General features: G+C 40.9%; 1 protein-coding gene and 1 pseudogene across 12 annotated transcripts in view; both read left to right on the top strand.

Annotated features, from left to right (window-relative positions):
* Positions 1-23,906, top strand: part of MTUS2 (microtubule associated scaffold protein 2) — a 685,985-nt gene that overhangs the window by 477,454 nt on the left and 184,625 nt on the right. The window lies entirely within an intron of this gene.
* Positions 9,291-10,558, top strand: GAPDHP69 (glyceraldehyde 3 phosphate dehydrogenase pseudogene 69; annotated as a pseudogene).

Genomic DNA, 23,906 nt, shown 5'->3' on the forward strand with positions numbered 1-23,906 from the left:
TCAAGGAAGCTGTAGTTTAGAGAAATTAAGTAACCCCCACACCCCTAGTCATACAACTTCTTTGTAGCAGGAATCAACCTAAGCCTGTTGGCCTTTAAAACCTATAGACCTAACTTCTGCTATTTAAATATTCTTACTTCGATGGAAGCCAATTAATTGCATTTTACTGAAGTTACCTTGATTGAAAAATATGACTTAGAGACTTAGTTATTCTTGCTAGTTACCTTACATATAGTTTCCCAACTCCCCTACAGTAATTCTGAGGTCTGTTTACACTTGTCCCTCTTAGGGGTTTCAGATGCAGGCGAAGAGCTAATGCCCTGTCCTAAACATGTTTGAGGTATATGATCCACTCCTATAATATTGATTTCCTGTAAGTTCATAATGATCATTGAGATCAGTGTGATAACAATGGAAAGTGTTGCGGATTTAGTGCTAATGAGTATATGTGTACACACATACACACACACACACAAAACATGCTATTCAGTGCTGTGTAAAAGAAAGGCTCTCAAGTATTCCTGAAACTTAGTTTTAGTCATGTAGTGGTTCTTCCTCTCAAAATTTTTATGAAAAGTTTTTCTGCTGTTCATATGTCAAATACAAAATCTCTTCAGTGCATTGATCCATATAATTTTACACTAATAGTGGGGCTGTACCTGTTGACTTTTCTAACTGGCTTGCACTGTTGTAGCAAATAGGAAAATACTTGCAGCTGCAAATATTGATTTGAAGATGAATTCTTGTCAATATGCCCTCTGATTCTGTCATATTGATATGATGCGTTGTAGAAAATAAAATTCCTTTATTCAGACTAAGGTACAGAAGGATTTCTAGTAGTTGTATAAAAAATGAGTAACTGATACATTATTATTTGAGTTCCTCTCTACCTAAGGAAAAACATTCCCTGGGAATAGGCTGCTACTCAGTAGGCTAAAGAAACTCTACTTGTGTCATAAAAATTAATTTTGCTTCTTGAAAAATAAATTGTTATTGATTTCACACATTTAGGGATTTCTGGTCATACTGTAATTTGATAATATAAGTAGCTTGTTAACATCATCAAAATGTGTTTGTTGAGCACTTTGATGATGTGTACATGTGCCAGACAGAGCTGTTCTACCATGTTCTCCCTGCCTTCGTCCAGTCCTCTCAAGTATCATTTTCTCTTTCTGTGCACATCTTTAGTGAAGAAAATGAGGAAGACCTTGCTAAAATAAAATATTCAGTCTTAGGAAAAAACAAAGTAAGAAATAGGGTCACTTGATGGCTACTGGAATTGTGGTCCTAGGTGATTTGTGAGCTTATTCTTACTGTAGCATATGATATGCATTCCTTTAATGTAAATAACTCTAAAAGCATGTTATTTTCCAGTAATGAAAGAATCATGGTGCCTCATAAGCTCTTGTTCGCTTGGGAGTGTTCAGGAATCTCCCAGATTTGACACCAGAAGAGGCAAGGTCAAAGCAATTAGGCTGCACTGGTATCTTCAGTGAAGATGCCCTTACTGCCCTATGCTGACCGTGGTCTCCCCAAGGCTGAGTCTAGATTGCTGTCACACTGTCAACTTATTTGTCATTGTGAAGCCAACAGGGAAGTGGCAATTAGTTTGGGGGTAGAAGAGTTTGTAGGAGAATAGAAGCATTTAAAAGAATCTTTGTGGGAGAATAATAAAGATAATAAATATGAGCTCCATTTCTTTGCATGAGATCAGAGAGACAGGAAAATATAATGGAGATGATGTATACAATTTCTGGTTGAAGGATCTGTCTACTTCATCATTTGGAGAGCCACATGAGTGCATGTCTTAGATGGTCTGTCTGCTGTTCTTTCTGGCCAGAAGAAGGAAAGCCAGGAAGCACTGGGAATCACAGGCTGTGACACCAAAGTCAACTCTCAGACATCCCGGGACTAAGGATCGGTGAACATTTGGATGGGCCTCCATTTGTTCAACATATATTAATTGCGTACCCTCTTCAAGCTGAACGCTTTGTTAGATACCTGGGGAAATCATGGTGAATAAGGTGGACACAGTCCTTGTCCCTGTGGAGCTGATGGGGGTCACAGGAGAGAGCAACATGAAACTTGTACTTACACACCTAATTATTGAGTTACGTTTATGCTAAGTGCTGTGAAAGGGAAATGAGTGTCCCAGAAGGCCATATGGTGCAGAGACATAACATAGTGCACAGAAAACATGCTGGCAGAGACCTGAAGTTTCCATAGAAGTGGCCGGTGATGATGGGGAACTGCATTCCATTCAGGTTAATGACATGAGTTGTTTCTTTGTAAAGCTAGAGGTTTCTCAAGCCTTGCTCCCCTTGAAATCTTGAACTACGGCTGCTAACAATTAGATACCTTGTAAATTTGAAAATATATGCTCCCCCATTTTTTTCCAAGCCCTCTATGGAGAAACTTGCAAGCTGTGAAATGGTCTAAAGACAGCATGAAAAAAAAAATTGCACAGAAAATTCACAGCAGTTTAATTAGTCTCTAATTTTACTGGGCAGTCCAGTAAAATTCATTGGAACAATTTGAATTTTGGAGGGGGGGGCACTTGATTTTAAAACCCTAATAACCTCATCCTCTATTACAAATTAAGTGGCTCAGGGTGCTATTTAGCTATTGTCATTGAAATGTCACAGAAGAATCCAAGTAAGGGAAAAGATCCATTTATCTTTCTCTGCTATGCCTTTTAAATGCTTTCATCAAAACAATAGCAAGAATAATATTTTAGGTAATTTTAGATAATATGGAAGACATTACAGGACATACCTATAGTGCCAGAAGAGAATTTATAACACTCTTGTGACCCACCTTAATATTAAGCCCCCTGTAGGCTGGTCTGAAACCTTTTGTGGATGCTCTTCAAAAGTAGGACACTAAAACCCTAATTTTCATTTAAGAGCATATACACATATTGTATTTAAAATGTTGCACACCTGGTATTTTGCCCACCCTGCTTGTCAGCCTTGAGGAGCTATGGGAGCTTGTCCAACAGTAATTAATGCAGATGGTCTTTTGGAGCTGAGTTTTCCATTGTGATTTTCAACATTTGTATGTTTCAGAAATCTGCCTACTGTACTATAAATGCATTCTTATGCAAATTGCTACCATCATATGGCCCAATTTCTTAGTATGAGGAGCATGAAACTTTTAATTACATGTCACTGTTTTAAAACTTTCCATTTCTTTTCAGACTTATATATTCTACTAGCTATATTACATTGAAGAAATGCCAAATACTAAGAGTAGTATTTGATGTGTTTGAAGTGAAGTCTTCAAGGGGTGTATTATTTGAAGACAGTAGTTCTTCATGGGGTGTAGTAAAAGACGCAAGAATAAGAAGGAAATGAATGCAACCTAATTCATCCATGGCTGGATTCACTAGCACAGAGCTTATCATCCACAGGCTTTATCTTAGTCTATTCAAGCCACTATAAAAAAATTAAGACTGAGCGGCTTATAAACAACGAACATTTATTTTTCACAGTTCTGGAGGCTGGAACATCCAAGATCAAGACACTGGAAGAAGGAAACAAATGCCAGTCATCAATTCTGTAAGATAACTGGAGAAGAGTGACATATTTATTTGGCATTGCAGAGCCTTCACATCTTTCATCTTTAACCCACCAGTCAGCAAATTTCTGTTGAGAACCACTTTGGGCCCACACTTTGCTAATCAATAGTCACCCAACCAGCCTAGCTGATGTGAGGGATGAGGGGAAAGCCCTCCAGCTTGCCCCCCACCCCGAACTGTTGGTGGTAGCCTTTCATCTTTCAAATGCCAGCCTGGGCCTGTTATTCTCTTGCCTAGGACCCTGCAGCAGCTCTCATTGCCCTTTTGTGTAGGCCTGGAATGGGGTGATTCTGATGGTGATGGCCCTCTTTACACAGCTGCTGTGGCCCAGAGTCACCCAGCAGAGGCCCAGCCTGCCTTAGCTGCCAGCATGCACTGCTTTGTGCCTACAACCTGGGAAAAACATGGCAAGTTGTAGACTCTTTTTTAAAGAGTGGTCTACACATTTTTGGGTTAAAAGCCACGTTGGACATATTTCTTTCTCTACATGATTTGCATTCAAAGGAATGGAACAACTTTATTAATAATCTACAGTGTGAATTGTTAGTTTCTATCACAGAATTTGGATGGCATGGGGAACAAGGAATGAGCTTTGAAGTTAGACCGAGATTACCACTAATTGCTGTGTGACCCTGATTCAATTATTTAACTTCTCTGATCCTTGAATTCCTCATTGGAAAAAGGAAAATAACACCAACTTCATTTGTTAATGACTGGATACACTAGTACAGTGCGTATAATCCATAGGTTTTATCTTAGTCTGTTCAGGCTGCTTTAATAAAATACCATCAACTGGGTGGCTTATAAACAATAAACATTTATTTCTAATAATTATGGCTGGGAATTCCAAGATGAAGGCATGGGAAGATTTAATATCTGGTAAGAGACCATTCCTCATAGATGGTGCCTTCTTGCTGTGTCCTCACCTGGTAGAAGGTGCAAATGAGCTTTTGGGGGCCTATTTTATAAAAGCACTAATCCCATTCCTGAGGGATTCACTCTCATGATTTAATCACCTCCCAAAGGCCCCACCTTCCATACCATCACATTAGAAATTGGATTTCGGGGATGGATCCAAGATGGCCAGTTAGAAGCAGCTGCAGTCTCCAGCACTCAGAGGAATGAAAAGGGGCAAGTGAATTCAGCACCTTCAATTGAAATATCCAGATTCTCACAATGGGACTGACTAGGCAAACAACACAAACCAGAGAATGAAGAAAAGCTGGGGCTGCTGACAGCCCACCCAGGAGTGGCACAGAGCCAAAGGAACCCCCACCCCCAGCCAAGGGAACCAGTGAGTGATTGTGCAACCCCACCTGGAAAACCATGCTTCTCCCATGGGTCTTTGCAACCCAAAGATCAGGAGATCCCCTTGTGAGCCCATGCCTTCAGGTCTTTGGGTCTATACACAGAGCTGTGTGGAGTTTTGGCAGAGCAGCCACTCAGGCACACACACAGTCCCAGGAGTGTCACATACTCTAGCCCTGGGATCCCTGGGAAGATGGGAATTCCATCCATACATATCCCTAGGAAGGGAGCTGAATCCAGGGTGCCAAGCAGTGTCATTTTGTGGGCCCCATTTCCATGGCACCTCACAACTTAAGAATCACTAGCTTAGAGTCCCAGTCAGCCCAGCACTGGGTTGGAGTCTCCCTGAGATGGATTCAAGTTCCTGTGGGAGGAGGCAGCCACCATCTCTGTGGTTCAGTTGACTCAGCTATGCCAGCCTGCTGACTTTGGAGAAGACAGGCGGTCCAGATGAGGAAGGGTCCCTCCAATGCAGCACACTTGCTCTACCAGACAGCAGCCAAACTGCTTCTTTGGGTGGATCCCTGATACCATTCCTCCTGACTGGGTGAGACCTCCCAACTGGGGTCTCTGGCCACCTCCTACAGGTACATGAAGGCTGGCAGTAGGTCAGTACCCCCTGGGATGGAGCTTCCAGAGGAAGGAGCTGGCTGCCATCTTTGCTGTTTTGTGCTCTTCACTGGTGATAACCACATATGGGAGAAACTGAGGCAACTAAGGTCTGGAGCAGACCCCCAGAAAACCATAGCAGCCCTACAGTAGAATGGCCTGACTGATAAAATAAAAACAAATAAACAGAAGACAACAACATCAACAAAAAAGACCCCACAAAAACCTCATTCAAAGGTCAGCAACCTCAAAGATCAAAGGTAGATAAGCCCACAAAGATGAGAAAGAATCAATGCAAAAATGCTGAAAACTCAAAAAGCCAGAGTGCCTCTTCTCCAAATAACTGCAGCACCTCTGCAGCAAGGACACAGAACTGGGCTGAGGCTAAGATGGCTGAATTGACAGAAGTAGGCTTCAGAAGGTGGGTAATAAAAAACTTAGCTGAGCTAAAGGAGCATGTTGTAACCCAATGCAGAGAAACTAAGAATCATGATAATACTGGAGCTGATAGCTAGAATAGCCAGTTTAGAGAGGAATATAATTGGCCTGATGGAGCTGAAAAACAACATGACAAATTCACAATGTAATCACAGCAGAATGGACAGAGAGGAGGAAAGAATCTCAGTGCTTAAAGATTATCTTTCTGAAATAAGACAGGCAGACAAGAATAGAGAAAAAAGAATGAAAAGCAATGAACAAAACCTCTGAAAAATATGAGATTATGTAAAGAGAGAAAACCTATGACTGATTGGGGTACCTGAAAAAGATGGGGAGAATGGAACCAAGTTGGAAAACATACTGCAGGATATCATCCAGGAGAATTTCCCCAGCCTAGCAAGACATGCCAACATTCAAATTCAGGAAATGCAGAGAATCCCAGTAAGATACTCCATGAGAAGATCAACCCCAAGACACAGAATCATCAGATTCTCCAAGATTAAATGAAAGAAAAAATGTTAAGGGCAGCCAGAGAGAAAGGCCAGGTCACCTACAAAGGGAAACCCATCAGACTAACAGTAGACTTCTCAGTAGAAAATCTACAAGCCAGAAGAGTTTGGAGGCCAATAGTCAACATTCTTAAAGAAAAGAATGTCCAACCCAGAATTTCAGATCTGGCCAAACTAAGTTTCATAAGTGAAGGAGAACTAAGATCCTTTACAGACAAGCAAATGCTTAGGGAATTCATCACCACCAGGCCTGCCTTGCAAGAGCTCCCAAAGGAAGCACAAAATATGGAAAGAAAAAACCAATACCAGCCACTATGAAAACACACTGAAGTACACAGAGCAGGGACACTATGAAGCAACCACATTAAAAAAAGTTTGAAAAATAACCAACTAGCATCATGATGACAGGATCAAATTTACACATAACAATACCAATCTAAAATGTAAACATGCTAACTGCCCTGATTGAAAGGCACAGAATGGCAAGCTGGATAAAGAGCCAAAACCCATCAGTATGCTGTTTTCAAGAGACCCATCTCACATGAAAGACACACATAGGCTCAAAATAAAGGGATGGAGGAAATTTTACCACACTAATGGAAAAAAAGAAAAAGAGCAGAGGTGGTAATCCTAGTTTCTGACAAAACAGACTATAAACCAACAAAGATAAAAAAAGATGAAGGGCATTACATAATGGTAAAGGGTTTAATTCAACAAGAAGAGCTAACTATTCTAAATATATATGCACCCAATACATAAGCATGCAGATTCATAAAGCAAGTTCTCAGAGACCTGCTAAGGGACTTAAACTCCCACAGAATAATAGTGGTAGACTTTAACACCCCACTGACAATATTAGACAGATGATCAAGACAGAAAATTAACAAAGATGTTCAGGATCTGAACTCAGCCCTGGATCAAGTGGACTTGATAGGTATCTACAGAACTGTCCACTCAAAAACAACAGAATATACATTCTTCTCATCACCACATGGCACTTACTCTAAAATTGATCACATAATCAGAAGTAAAACACTTCTCAGCAAATGTAAAAAAAAACAACAAATCATAACAGTCTTTCAGACTACAGCACAATCAAACTAGAATTCAAGATTAAGAAACTCACTTAAAACTTAAAAACTACATGGAAATGGAACAACCTGCTTCTGAAAGACTCTTGGGTAAAAATGAAATTAAGGCAGAAATCAAGAAGTTCTTTGAAACTAATGAGAACAAAGAGGCAATGTACCAGAATCTCTGGGTTGCAACTAAAGCAGTATTAAGAGGGAAATTTATAGCACTGAATGTCCATGTCAAAAAGCTAGAAAGATTGTAAGTTAACAACCTAACATCTCAAATAATAGAAATAGAGAACCAAAAGCAAATAGACCCCAAAGCTAGCAGAAGACAAGGAATAACCAAGATCAGAGCAGAACTGAAGGAGACACAGACATGAAAAAACCTGTTAAAAAATCAACAAATCCAGAAGCTAGTTTTGTGAAAAAAAAAGTAATAAAGAGACAGGCTGCTGGCTAGACTAATAAAGAAGAAAAGAGAGAAGACTCAAATAAACAATCAGAAATGAAAAGGGGAATATTACCACTGACCCTACAGAAATACAAACAACTATCAGAAATACTATAAATATCTCGAGGCACATAAACTAGAAAATCTAGAAGAAATGAATAAATTCTTGGGTGCATACACCCTCCCAAAACTGAACTAGGAAGAAATTGAATCCCTGAATAGACCAATAACAAGTTCTGAAACTGAGGCAGTAATAAATAGCCTACCAACCTAAAAAAACCCGTGACCAGATGGATTCACAGCTAAATTCTACTAGATGTACAAAGAAGAACTGATACCATTGCTACTGAAACTATTTCAAAAAATTGAAGAGGAGGGACTCCTTCCTAACTCATTCTATGAGGCCAGCGTTATCCTGATACCAAAACCTGGCAGAGATACAGCAAAAAGAGAAAACTTCAGGCCAGTATCCTTGATGAATATTGATGCAAAAATCCTCAGGAAAATACTGGCAAACTGAATCCAGCAGCACATCAAGAAGCTTATCCACCATGATCAAGTTGGCTTCATCCCAGGATGCAAGGTTGGTTCAACATATGCAAATCAATAAATGTGATTCATCACATCAATGGAACTAAAGACAAAACCCTCATGATTATCTCTAATAGATTCAGAAAAGGCCTTTAATAAAATTCAACATTCCTTCATGTTAAAAACTCTCGATAAACTAGGTATTGAAGGAACATACCTCAGAATAATAAGAACCATATATGACAAATGCACAGTCAATATCCTACTGAATAAGCAAAAGTTAGAAGCATTGTTCTTGAAAACTAGCACAAGACAGGGATGCCCTCTCTCACCACTCCTATTCAACATAGTATTGGAAGTTCTAGCCAGGGCAATCAGGCAAGAGAATGAAATAAAGATTATTCAGATAGGAAGAGATGAAGTCAAAGTATCTTTGTTTGTAGGTGACATGATCCTATATCTAGAAAACCCCATCATCTCAGCCCAAAAGTTTCCTAAGCTGATAAGCCACTTCAGCAAAGTCTCGGGATATAAAATCAGTCTGCAAAAATTGCTAGCATTCCTATACACCAACAACAGGAAAGCAGAGAGCCAAATTATGAATGAACTCCCATTCACAATTACTACAAAAAGAATAAAATGCCTAGAAATACAGCCAACAAGGCGAATGAAGGACCTCTTCAAGGAAAACTACATACCACTGCTCAAGGAAATCACAGAGGACACAAACAAATGGAAAAACATTCCAGGCTCATGGATAGAAAGAATCAATATCATGAAAATGGTCGGCTCCCTGCTTCTCCTGTTCGACAGACAGCCACATTTTCTCTTGCATTGCCAGCCGCATCCCTGAGACATCATGGTGAAGGTGAAGGCCAGAGTCGACAGATTTGGTCATGTTAGGTGTCTGGTCACCAGGGCTGCTTTTAACTCTGCTAAAGTAGATATTGTGGCCATCAGTGACCCCTTCATTGACCTCAACTACATGGTCTACATGTTCCAGTATGGTTCTACCCATGGCAAATTCCATGGCACTGTCAAGGCTGAGAACAGGAAGCTTGTCATCACTGGAAATCTCATCACCATCTTCCAGGAGCGAGATCCCTCCAAAATCAAATGGGGTGATGCTGGCACTGAGTACAGTGTGGAGTCCACCAGCATCTTCACCATCATGGAGAAGTCTGGGGCTCACTTGCAGGGAGGAGCCAAAAGGGTCATCCTTTCTGCCCCCTCTGCCAACACCCTGATGTTCGTGATGGGCGTGACCCATGAGAATTATGACAGCAGCCTCAAGATCATCAGCAATGCCTCCTGCACCATGAATTGCTTAGCACCCCTGGCCAAAGTCATCCGTGACAACTTTGGTATCATGGAAGGACTCATGACCACAGTCCATGCTGTCCCTGCCACCCAGAAGACTGTGGATGGACCATCCAGGAGACTGTGGTGTGATAGCCATGGGGCTCTCCAGAACATCATCCCTGCCCCTAGTGACGCTGCCAAGGCTGTGGCCAAGGTCATCCCTGAGCTGAATGGGAAGCTCACTGGCATGGCCTTCTGTGTCCCCACTGCCAACTTGTCAGTTGTGGATCTGACCTGCTGTCTTGAAAAACCTGCCAAATATGATGACATCAAGAAGGTGGTAAAGCAGGTGTCAGAGGGCCCCCTCAAGGGCATCCTGGGCTACACTGAGTACCAGCTTGTCTCCTCTGACTTCAACAGCGACACCCACTCTTCCACCTTCGACGCTGGGGCTAGCATTGCCCTCAACGACCACTTTTTCAAGCTCATTTCCTGGTATGACAATGAATTTGGCTACAGCAACAGGGTGATGGACCTCATGGCCCACATGTCCTCCAAGGAGTAAGACCCCCAGACCACCAGCCCCAGTGAGAGCACAAGAGGAAGAGAGAGGCCTTCACTGCTGGGGGACACTTAGTCCCCCTCCACACTGAGAATCCCCCCTCCTCAGAGTTTCCATGCAGATCTCCTGAAGAGGGAGGGGCCTAGGGAGCCCCACCTTGTCATGTACCATCAATAAAGTCCCCTGTGCTCAGTCAAAAAAAGAAAAAGGAAATGGTCATACTGCCCACAGTAATTTATAGATTCAATGCTATCCCATTAAACTACCATTGACATTCTTCACAGAATGGAACCAAAAAAGATCCTGAATAGCCAAGACAATTCTAACCAAAAAGAACAAAGCTGTAGGCATCAAGCTGCCCGACTTCAAACTATACTACAAGACTACAGTAACTAAAACAGCATGGTACTGGTACAAGAACAGACACATAGACCAATGGAACAGAATCATATACTCAGAAATAAGACCACATGCCTCCAGCCATCTGATCTTCAACAAACTTTACAAAAGTAAGCAATGGGGAAAGGATTCCCTATTTAATAAATGGTGCTGGGAGTGCTGGCTAGCCATATGCAGAAAAACGAAAATGGACCCCTTCCTTTCACCATATACAATATTAACTCAAGATGGATTAAAGACTTAAATGTAAAACTCAAAACTATAAAAACCTTAGAAGAAAATCTAGGCAATACCATTCAGGACATAGGCACGGGCAAAGATTTCATGATGAAAACACCAAAAGCAATTGTGACTAAAGCAAAACTTGACAAATGAGATCTAATTAAAAAGAGCTTCTGCACGGCAAAAGAAACCATCATCAGAGTGAACAGGCAACCTACAGATTGGGATAAAATTTTTGCAATCTATCCATCTGACGAAGGTCTAATATCCAGAGTCTACAAGGAACTTAAACAAATTTATAAGAAACAACCCCATTAAAAAGTGAGCAAAGAACATTAACAGACACTTCTCAAAAGAAGACATACATGTAGCCAACAAACATATGAAAAAAACCTCAACATCACTGATCATTAGAGAAATGCAAGTCAAAACCACAATGAGATACCATCTTATGGCAGTCAAAGTGGCTACTATTACAAAGTTAAAAACAAAACAAAACAGGTGCTGGTGAGGTTGTGGAGACAAAGGAGCACTTTTGCATACACAGGTAAACATTGTCTGGGAGGGTTGGGTGGGAGGGTAAATTAGTTCAACCATTGTGGAAGACAGTGTGGCAATTCCTCAAAGACCTAGAGGCAGAAATACCATTTGACCCGGCAATCCCATTACTATATGTATACCCAAAGGAATATAAATCATTCTATTATAAAGATACATGCATGCGTATGTTTATTGCAGCACCCTTCACAATAGCAAAGACATGGAGTCAACCCAAATTCCCATCAATGATAGACTGGATAAAGAAAATGTGGTGCATATATATACACTATGGGATACTATGCAGCCATAAAAAGGAATGAGATCATGTCCTTTGCAGGGACACAGATGGAGTTGGAAGCCATTATCCTCAGAAAACTAATACAAGAACAGAAAACCAAACACCACATGTTCTCACTTATAAGTAGGTGCTGAATAATGAGAACACATGGATACATGATGGGGTCAACACACACTGGGGCCTGTGGGGTGGAGGATGGGGGGAGGGAAAGCATCAGGAAGAATAGCTAATGGATGCCGGGCTTAATACCTAGGTGATGGGATGGTTTGTGCAGCAAACCACCATGGCATATGTTTACCTATGTAACAAACCTGCACATCCTGCACATGTACTCCTGAACTTGAAGAACAAAATAATGAAATAATATGAACATTTGTTGTGTAAAAAAATTTAGATTTCAACATGTGAATTTTTGAGTGACACAAACATTCAGACCACATAGTAGGTTCTAAATAAATATTTATAATAATATTGCTAAGAAATACCATTTTGCATGCTTAATAAGGGCCTGGCATTATGCTAAGCACTTATTTTTAATTTTTGTGTGTACATAGTAGGTGTATATATTTATGGGGTACATGCCATGTTTTGATACAGGCATACAATGTGCAATGGTCACATCAGGGTAAATGAGGTCTCCATCACCTCAAGCATTTATCCTTTCTTTATGTTACAAACAATTCAGTTATCCTCTTTTCATTATTTTTAAATATACAAAAAATTATTGTTGACAGTAGTCACCCTGTTGTCCTATCAAATACTAGATCCTATTTATTCTATCTAACTATATTTTTGTATCCATTAATCATCCCCAATTGCCTGCAACCCCACTACCCTTCCCAGCCTCTGGTAACCTTCATTCTGTTCTCTATCTCCATGAGTTCAGTTGTGTTAGTTTTATGCTAAGCGCTCTTAATCCACAGTCCCATTTTATTCTCACAATAACCTTGTGGAGTAGCTACTGTTGTCACCTATTTTACACAGGAGGAAACAAATGCTCAGAGAGTTCAAGTAACCTGCCTCAGGTCACACAGCTAAGGACACAGTAAAGCTGAATGTCTGGGCCCTTAATCATATGCTGAACAACCTCTTCATTGTGTCTTTTACCTAATTCCACCTCCAACTTGAAAATAATTGATATTCGTAATTACCACTTCTACTTTTTAGTGGCTACTGTCTCAACTGTGAATTATGATTTAAACAACTAAGTTAGTATTTAGTTTACACTTGGAAAAAATAGTGTAGATGAATATTATGAAAGATGATAAAGCTTTAAAAAGGTTACATATTGCAACCCTTACAAGTGAGTGCACAAAAAGGCAGACAAAAAAGGAACAAAAAGATTTGGTCAACACTCCACAAAAGTAAAAAAATCAAATAGCCAATAAGCATATTTAAATAGTGCTGACCATCATCAGTAATCAGAAGAATGCAATTCAAATCACAGCGAGGTGTATATCCATTAGAATGGTGACATTTTAAAAATCTGACCTTTTAAATATTAGTGAAGATGTACATGGGGAACTCTCATACAGTGCTGGTGGGAAAGGAGAAATTGACACAGCCACTTTGGGAAATAATTTAGTGTTGTCTAGTAAACTTCCATGTGTGCCATAATTTAGGGTTTCTGCTCATAGATATATGAGAAATTCATACATGTGTATCTAGAGACATGGACAAGCCTGTTCAAAGCAGCATTGTTCATAATGGCCAAAAACTAGAAGTGGGAGCAACTCAAACTTTCATTGATGTTAGAATAAATGAATCTATTGTGATGTATGCACACAATGGATCATTATTTGTCAATGCAAATGATGAACTGGGGCTACATGTGGATGAAAATTACAAGTACAATGTGTAGTAGAAATTGCAAGACCACAGAATCCAGACAGTGTGGTTTCATCCACGTCAAGTTTGTAAACAGACTTCAGGATATTGTTACCGCCACAGGTGAAGTGGTAAAACTATGAGGAAAAGCAAGACATGATCACTACAGACTTCTTGACAGTTGTTTCCTCGAATGGAAAGGCGGGGTTGAGACCTGACATCCCTCTGGCTGCCAGTGATCTTCTATTCCCACTCCTCACCTGGGTAACAATTGCATGGATGTTTGTTTTATAATTATGTGTTAAACTGCACAGATAAGTGTTAAGTATTGTATTTTATAATAGATATGTTTAAAACTATATTATAGTAGTTGATTAAGAAAAATATGTGAATGAATATGTATAATTTGGTTTGAAATAATGCATTTAAATGGTTATGGCTGGTTGAGAATATGATGCAAATGAAGAAAAAGTGTATTTTTTGTACTTCTCTCTAATGAATACGTGTCCTTTTATAAGAAAGGAAATAACTTATCTTAATACTTATGTACCTTGGATGGCTGAGTCTCAATCTGACATCCTAGCCAGATAACTTAGTTTAAACCATAAGCAATAGAAGCCAAAGACAGTTTAACATATTGTTTACTTTCTATTTGTTTATTAGTCATTGTTTCCATTCAGTGGCAACTTCAATCACAAAGTTTCCCATTTATAAAAAAGAAGGCAAAAAATTGTTCAATTACTATCTAATCAAAGGTAGTCTTATTTAGCCTCCAGTTGGAGTTTCAGGGGAGTTCAGACTCACTGGAGGGAAACTTAGTAAGAATATTTGCCTTGGTCTAGTGAAGTGGGACATCATAGAGGGCTAGAGACAATGTAGGCTGGGCTCAAAAACAAACCTCCAGCCTCATTCCCTACCCTGCTCTCCCTGACCTGCTGTCCCTTCACTCCGGTACCTTTGCACGTGATCACTGCCCCCACATCCCTCCAACCCCACTGCTCTGCAGCGCCCTTGCCCTCTTGACAAGTCTCGCATACTTCATGTCTCAGCTCAAACATAACCTTCTTCACTGAAGCCTTACCTGGCTCCTCCTCCATGCTCCCAGAGAGAAATCTTTGCCCAAACCTCTGGGCTGGTGCTTGCTACAATATCTTGTCATTACTTATTTACATGTCCCACTAATTGGTGAATTCCTAGAGCTGAGGATTCTGTCTTTTCACTTTGAAATCTCCAACAGCTAATACCATATCAAGTACGATGTAGCCAACCAATAAATATATGATAAATGAATGAATAAAGGAATGCTTGAGCTCTTTCAAGAAAATGATATCTCCAAAAATTTTTAAAAGGATGAGGCAGGCTTTCAAGTAAAACTACAGGATCTAATATGAGGACACTTAATACTAAATAGACTACATTAGGGATTTTTAAATTTATACGGGGAGAATGTTAGCTTTAAAAAGGGCACAATTTTATTGTGCTTTTGAATTAATGGTGAAAATAAATTATTGGGTAGAAAGAGACAAATAATCCAGATCATTTCTTTTATTTGGCTTAATGAAAACTGCCACAGTGAATAAAATTCAAACATCTACCTGTGTAGCTTTAAAAATGCAAAGTATTTATTACCACTAGTTACTTATTCACATGCTCTCAGTATCTAATAGATCATGCAAAGTCCTGATTCCCCAAGAGAACTGGATTATTTTCTTCCTACAAATCCATCATATTCAGAGCTTTACTCATTTTGTTTCAAGCAGTATGTACAGGGATTTCTCATTGATCATTTACAACATGCCTGTTTATTATGTGGGGATAGAGAGGTACTAGGAAGAAACAAGAAAGATAAAAAGCTATTTCAAAATGTCAGGAATTCACCTAATCTCAAGGTTCATGTTATTTTCCATGGGGGAAGAATGTGATTAGTTAGTAATAATAACCAACTCATTTATTTACAAATATTTACTGAGTGGGCAATGCTTGTGAAGTGTATTGTCTAATGGGGAATATGGACAGGTGAGAAGGCATTCAACCCATAGTGTAGTAAAGCTGTGGCCCCAGAGCTTTAGAACAGCAGGCTGAGGAGTGAAGGATGTGTTGGAGTAGAGGGAGGAGGCTGCTGCAGAGCTCTCCCTACAGGAGGCATGGCACTGGTGTGAATTACGAAGTTGCAGTGACTGTGGAAAAAAAAAGTGGACTAGATTTAAGACAGACAACAAGATGTATATTTCAAAAGATTTGGCATTTTATTGAGCATAAAGAAGTGAGAGAGGGAGGAGATGAAGGCAAGATCATTATTTATGGCTTGGGCAAAAAAGCACATTTACCAAGTTAGGGAAGCTAAAAATGAAAAGAGGTTTTGTTAGGTGACAGTGAGTTCAATTTTGGACATATGGAGTGTGATGTGCATGGGAGATATCCGAAGAGAAACATTCATCTATAGGTTGGAGATTATATAGAGAGATAAGATGTATAATAAGATATATGTCTACATGTATATGTGTATACACATATATGGAACACAAATATTAGGAGTTCCATAAAAACAACAGAGAAATCAGAGGAGAGGTAATTATGAAGCAACATATCAAGAAAATTTCCCAGAACTGCAGAATGAGAGTTTACAGATTAAAAGGCCCCCTAAGTGTCCAGCATAATGGATACAAAAAGATCCAGAGCAAGACACATCAGCATGAAATTTTACAACGCTGGGGAAAAGGAGAAGGCACCAAGAACTTCCCAAGAGAGCAGACAGATCACACACAAAAGGCTGAGATTTAGAATAGCATCAGTAGGCTTATCAGTAGCAACCCTGGAAGTTAAAAGAGAAATGCCTTAGCATTTCTGGGGGAAATGACTGCCATGTGCCACGTTAAAATTCCACACTCAGCCAAGCAACCAGTTGGATGAAGAAATCTTCAGCTTTGGAAGCTGTCAGGTAATTTACCTCATGTATACCTTTCTTCAGGAACTTAAAAAAAAATGTGCTCTACCAAAGTAAGGAAGCAGACCAAGAAAGAGGAAGGCATAGGAACCTGAAGTAGGAAGAAAGCAAAGGAATTTCCCAGAATGATGATGTGACTCAAATAACAGCCATGCCACAGCCCTAGAAATGACCAGTCTAGAATGAAATGGAGAATTGAGGGCTCCAGGAAGAATGGCTCTAAGAAAACAAAACCACACTGAGGTATAACCTTACATGTCATAATTGTGAGAGGAAAGTTATATGCTGATGGAGAACTTGTGGGAGAATTAGCAATATATACATAGAAAACTGAGCAAACAAAAACCAAGGCAGCTATTAAACCCAGGGAAAACAAAAGTCAGACAAGAAGATGGTTCAGTTGTAAATAATATTTATATTTGGTTTAAACAAGGTGAACTGAATTTTGACGTAACCAAAAATGGTACAACTGTATTGCAATGATGGGGGAGGTAGTGTGGAAGGGAGCCTGCAGAGAAAGAAAATTGTCATTTGCTGTAATAAGAAGTTACTGAAATATATGTAAAATGTAAATATCAAGAAGTAGCATTATAAACATGTTACTTATATCTATGGAGATGAATAGAGAAAACAGCTTAAAATGTGGAAGTGATGAGTATGAAAGCGTATGGAGGGATAAGACAAGATACTACTGGGTGGTTTTTGTTGTTGTTTAAAACCTTGCAGAATGACCTTTCAGAAAGGTATCAGTACAGAACTTTGTTTTAAAAAATAGTTTTCTACCATATGATCTAGCAGTTCTACTACTGGGTATATATCCAAAGGAAAGGAGATCAGAACATTGTAGAGGTATCTGGACTCTTGTGTTTATTGCAACACTATTCACAATAGCCAAGATGTTGAATCAACCTTGTCCATCAACAGATGAATGAATAAAGAAAACGTGGTACATATACACAATGGAATACCATTCATCCATTAAAAAGAATCGAGTTTTATCATTTATGGCAACATGGATGAGCTTGGAGGACATTATGTTAAGTGAAATAAGCCAGGCACGGAAAGCCAGATATCACATGTTCTCACTTATATGTGGAATCTAAAAAAGTTGATCTCTTAGAACTAGAGAATAGAATAGTGGGTACTAGAAATTGGGAAGGGTAGGGAGGAGAGACAATAAGAGATGAGTTAATGAATGCAAAATTACAGTTAGAAGGAATCAGTTCTAGTGTTCTATAAAACTGTAGGGTGACTCTAGTTAATTATACACTATTGCATATTTTCAAGTAGCTAGAAGAGAGGATCTGGCATGGTCCCAACACAAAGAAATGATCTATGTGTGAGGTGATGGGTATGCTAGTTATCCCAATTTGATCACCGCATATTGTTTACATGTTCCAAAATATCACTCTGTACCCCATACATATGTACAATTACTATGTGCCAATTAGAATAATAAAAATCATTTTTTAAAAGGTATGCAAAGAATGAAAAGGAAAAAATGGAAGAATTAATTGCTGGACTGTGCTGTGGCCACAGTGATACCTGGTGACTATAAATTTGATGTCCCTATCTGTGTCATTGTGTGCTCAGCTGGGCTAGAAAAGGGTGACAACTGGATTGAGCTAGGGTTGGGTTCTGCAGACAGTTCTGACCATGGTAGTGTCTGTTGTCTCTGTGAAATGAGAGCAAGCATGTGACTAATAAGGTAGTAGAAGTAAAGGAATCTGGTGTAAACTTTAGGTTGAATAATAAGTGAGGTGAAGACAGAAGGAGACTGATGGTGTGGGGAAAGGGATTATAGTCTGAGTTGTAGATATGAATTGATAGAGAGGCAACAGCATAGTGAGATGGCAAGGGGATAGAAGGTTGTAACCAGAAAGAAGGATATGTGAATTTCAGAGGCGAAGTTTAAGGTGATGACAAGGTCCATGGTGATGCCCAGGGTCTTGATTCAGGGTGCCTCTTGGGTTGCAGGTGTCAAAGAACTGAAAGCTGGCATGCTGGATGAGTCATGCATTGGGGATTGCCACTGTCAGGACCTGAGGGTAAAGGGGAAGACTGCACCTGGGGGGTGTGAGGGACAGTAACCATGCTGTAAGAATAGTGTTCAATTAGCCAGCAAGAACCTTGGAACCTCAAAGGAAAGGTACTTTACACACGTGTGGGGCCTCATGTTCTAGTGGGGTATTTGAGAGTTTGAAGGAGACCTCCTGACCAGGACATAGTTGGATGTGGAGGAAAAGCACCAGTGGCAACCATTTGAGAAAACTGCTCTGAGAGAGATTGAGGACAAAGGTAGGGGATGGAGATTTTTTTACCAAAGGAAGAAGGAGTTCCACATAGTATGGAGGAAGCATCAGAGGTAGAAAGGTTGGGGCCAGGGATGGAAAGAATGTTGGGATTTGCTGGCCCCCAGCATTTGAAAACAAATGGCTTAAGCCATTTCCTGGTCTCTTAGTCACCGCCTTCCTGCCCTCTCCCCAACACCCCGACTCTCTTCTAAGCTTTCTCACCCCTGCCCCTTGCTTCTTTCCTTCAAATGGAATCAGACTCTACTTGGATCCATTGTGCTTCTATGGGCAGGTGAGCAGGCAGGCAGTAGAACTTGTTACTTCTCAGGACTCACTGAGGCCACTGCAGTGTAGTGAAATGCAGGCTAAGTAGGGCCAGAAGTTGCAGGTTCAGGCACATACTGGTAAATGCAGATATGTTACAAACTCCGTACCTTCAGTTCCTTCATTTGCAAACCAGTAATACCAATAATACCCACAGAGTTTGGACAGGTGTCAGGTGAGGTAACATACACAGAAGCAACTGCAACCTGGCATCTGCTGTTTATAAATGCTTATGATAAATATTTCCCCCAAAAGTGTAACTTCCGTTACAGCTCATACCTGTGTCTTTCACTAGGACAGTGCCTTACAGGTTATTTGTGCTTAGTAATGAATTGATCAGTGAATTTATTGGGCTTGGGGGGGAATTTACAAAGCTTTTACACATACATATATTTCAAAAACCACTTGTTCACTCTTCTGTCCTTATCTTTTCATAATAATCTTCAGAATTAATTATCCCTTAGTCTTATCCAGGTAATAATTAGGCTTCTAATGGAGGCCTAATTTTTCTAGGCCTCTATTTGAATACAGAAACCTCCCTATTCTCCCTTAAATTCCTAGCTACAATTTCTACCTTCATGCATGCAGTACATGTGTGTTGAAATGGAACAAACCTTAAATAGGTTAAAATCCACCTTCCCAGTATTCAGATTGTTTCTCCTATTAACTTTAGTGCCTCAATATCAGATATTCCTCTTAATATTTAAAAAATTACTATTGGCAGCTGAAAACTGATTTCCTTTCCTCTAGTCCTTGCATCTAACTCTCCTGAGTTCGCTTGTGCGCGCGCTCTCTCTCTCTCTTTTTTTTTTTTTTTTTGAGACGGAGTCTCGCTCTGTCGCCCAGGCCGGACTGCGGACTGCAGTGGCGCAATCTCGGCTCACTGCAAGCTCCGCTTCCCGGGTTCACGCCATTCTCCTGCCTCAGCCTCCCGAGTAGCTGGGACTACAGGCGCCCGCCACCGCGCCCGGCTAATTTTTTGTATTTTTAGTAGAGACGGGGTTTCACCTTGTTAGCCAGGATGGTCTCCATCTCCTGACCTCGTGATCCACCCGCCTCGGCCTCCCAAAGTGCTGGGATTACAGGCGTGAGCCACCGCGCCCGGCCTCTCTCTTTAGTTTATAACTCATCCAGGTTTCCTCTTTTATTTGATATATTCTGATCGAGATAATGTTTCCTTTCTTCATTCTATCCAATCCCTATAAATCCTACCTTGAACTGTTCCCATTCAATTCATCTTACAAATGGCATCAGAATCTGTCTTTTCTGATTACATCATTCATGTTTTCTGTTCACCTCCTTCCAGTTACACTGGAGTGATTATCATCACTTGCGTTGTGGCCACCTTTGCTTTTCCCTCTTCTTGCTTTGCTCCGTCTGCGTCTGCAATCCTCGTGTTCCCTGTGTGGGAGCTGATCTGTGGGGCCAGGGCAGGGTCAGCCCCGTGGCATGTGCTTTCACAGGCAAGTGGAGGGAAAACTTCAGATACTTAGGGGATAAAGTCTGTTGCTGTATATATTTCTTTATCCTTTCTGTTTCTTATCTTTTCTTACTTATATTGAGATTTACTTGCAGGAATTTGCAGCCTATTGTATGTGAGATTAAGAGCCTATAAAAATGTTTTAGGTTTTTTTTTTTTTTGATGTGCTGATTTCTTTTTATTAAAAAAAGTATATAGCATTCTCTTAAATCTTGTTTTCCCATTGAGATGTGCTCAGTGAGGATCCTGAATTAGCTATTATCATTTGTTATTTCTTTTTCTTTTTTTTTTTGAGATGACAGCCTCGTCCTCAGAGTGAGCCGTTATTCTTGTTTATGTTCAGGGACTCAGGGGACTAATGGAGACCAAGCAGTTAGTGACTTTCTGGTGAGTAAAAAGAGTTTCCTCATTTTTTAAAATCTATAATTGACACATTGAGCCATCACTCTTGATTGGGCAGCTTTAGGGCCCACAAGTCATGTTTTCATGGCTCCTTTGCAATTGGTCTTTGTTTTAAGCATTTGTAATAAACAAGTTGTAAGTCACTTTTATGATGTCCGGTTCAGGAATAAAATACACAATGGTGCTTCTGCCAGCTGTTGTCGAAGCCACTGATAGCATTGTGGAAGGCCCTTGTCCACGGGAGAAACTGAGCTTTTACACTCTCCTTCTCTTTTCTGAGACACTCTCTATGGATTGCTAGGCAGCACCCACCCCTGTAGGCTTTTGAGATGCTTCTTGCTACACTATGGCGAAACAGTCTAGGACCATCTGGGTTTGTAGTGATTGGCATTGGGTGAATATAATCAGTGCCAGTATTTCAAATTAAACTTAAGGGCTTCTCTTCTGAGACCAGACTGAGGCTGGCATTTCTTTCCCTCCTGCTGCCTTCTTCCTTCCCGGCAAAAGCCCCAGTGCTCTGGGGTTTGTGTACAAACATTCTTTCATGTAGCTCTGAATCTCCGTATAGATAAGGCACACGAGGAGCCTTCTTGACCAACATACGGCCCCATGAGAGAAGAGCCTGTGCATTTATTGATTAAGGAGCTATTTTCTCTGGCCGGCATTGTATTATTCAGCTCTTTTTTGGTTTCATATTAGAGAAACCTAATTCAAACTGCCTTAGGCAACAAGAAAGCAAAAGGGCAGAGGGATTTTGGGCTCACAGAACTGAGAGGTTCCGGAGGTCATGGTGACGTGAGGCACGACTGTCCCCCAGGGGGGACTTCAACCGCAGCGGCAGGAATGCATTTTCATCTCCTGGCCCCTTGTTCCCCTCTCTTGGCTCATCCTCAGAAAGGCTCTCCCCACATGGGAACAAAGATGATCAGCAGCTGCTCCAGGCCCATATCCTGCCAGCTTGGGCATCTATCGAGTAGAGAATTTTTGTCTAGTAAATCCAGCAAAATTCCCGAGGTAGGGCTGTCATCGTCCCAACTCACATCTTGTTTCATTCTCAAGCCAGGATACTGTGTAACACCAGAGCGGTGCAGAGCTCTGATCCAGCAGGCCTGTGTTGTACGCCCCCTCCAGGCCCTGGTGCATCAGGCCGCTACTCTGACCACATGAAACAAGAGGAGGGAAGGGTTGATTCCCCAAAGGTCAGCAGGGGTGCTGTTCAAAGGAGCTGTCAGGCCTAGTACGAGATGCCCGCTAGCCTTAGCCGCACAGAGTCTGCACTGGGGGAAAGAGATCAGGGAAAGCTGAATAGGGTCTAAGGAAATACTGCTATTCAAGAAAGCTAAAAAAAAAATAAGGAAAAACTTCATAAATAAGTGTCAGGGACTCCAGGGACTAATAGAGACCAAGCAGTTAGTGAGTTTTTGGTGAGTAAAAAGAGTTTCGTCATTGAGCCATTCAGTTAGACAGGGAAGCTGCAGTACGCTGAATACTGGCCCCTGAATATGTCCATGTATGAATCACCAGAACCTATCAATGTTACCTTATAGGGCAAAAGGGACTTTGCATGAAGTTCAGGATGTTGAGATGGGGAGATTATCCTGGATTACCCAGATAGAGACAATGTCATCATAAGCATCCTTGTAAGAGAGAGGCAGGAGGAATTAGAAAGACATGATGCAGGAAGCAGGGATCGGAGTGATTGCTTTCAAGATGGGAGAAGGGGCCACCAGCCAAGGAATGAAGGAAGCCACGAGAGGCGAACAAGGCAAGGAAACGGACTCTCCCCTGGAGAGTCTAGAAGGCACCAGCCTGGCCGACCCCTTGGCTTCAGCCCAGTGAGCCTGATTTCAGACTTCTGACCTCCAGAACTAGAAGAGAATAAACTTGTGTTGTCTGAAACTGCTAAGTGATAATTTGTTACAGTGGTAATGGGAAAACTAAAACAGAATGAGCTGAAATTGAAGATGACCTGGAGTAGGCCAGGCAGACAAGGGAGAGGCTGAGCACTCAGCCTCCGTGAACAGCACAGGCTGAGACACCCAGGGTCACATGGAAACAGCAGGGGCACCTGGCAGAGGACAGGAGATCCTGGAGGATGCTTACCCCACACCATGGAGTTGGGACTTCCTACTGAAGCCCAGGGTAAGCTTTGGAAAGGTTTTAACAGTAAAATCATGGGATCTTGTTAAAGGCTTAAGGTCTTTCTGGCAGTGCTAAGGAGGGTGAGTTAGGTAAAGATGCAGAGGTTAAGGCACAAGACAGAAATTACTGAAGAGAATTTTGTAGTTGTCCCAACAAGAAATGAGGACTGAGCTGAGGTACAAAGTGAGAATGAATCAGGGGCCAGACTTAGGAGCTACTGAAGGTCAGAAAGACCTCATCACTGCTAGATATGGTAGGATGAGGAAGAAGACTGACTTGTTTCTGGTTTCAGTGACTGGGAGGACAATTGACTAGGAGAGAAAATATAGGACAGAGAATAGGTTTGAGAAGAAGTTAACCAGCTCCATTTGGGGAACAGTGTTTTTTGTCATCAAATAGATAAGCAGTAATGTCTATTTGGCAGCTGAAAACAGGTCTGGATCCCAGGAGAGGTATCTGGGCCTACCTGGATTGGAAATCACAGATGTGGTCATCAGTGTACATAAGTTGGTGATGTGAGCCTGTTGAATGGATAAGCTCACTCAGAAGACTGGACAGGAGAAGGCTGAGGCTGCACTGGGGATACCTTGGTCCAGGTCTAAGGAAAGAAGACAGAGTAGCCAAGAAGGCTGAGACAACAGCCGGGAGGCAGTAGGAAAACATGAGAC

Source organism: Homo sapiens, chromosome 13 (genome assembly GCF_000001405.40).
Source record: "Homo sapiens chromosome 13, GRCh38.p14 Primary Assembly".
In the NCBI taxonomy this organism is placed as follows: domain Eukaryota; kingdom Metazoa; phylum Chordata; class Mammalia; order Primates; family Hominidae; genus Homo; species Homo sapiens.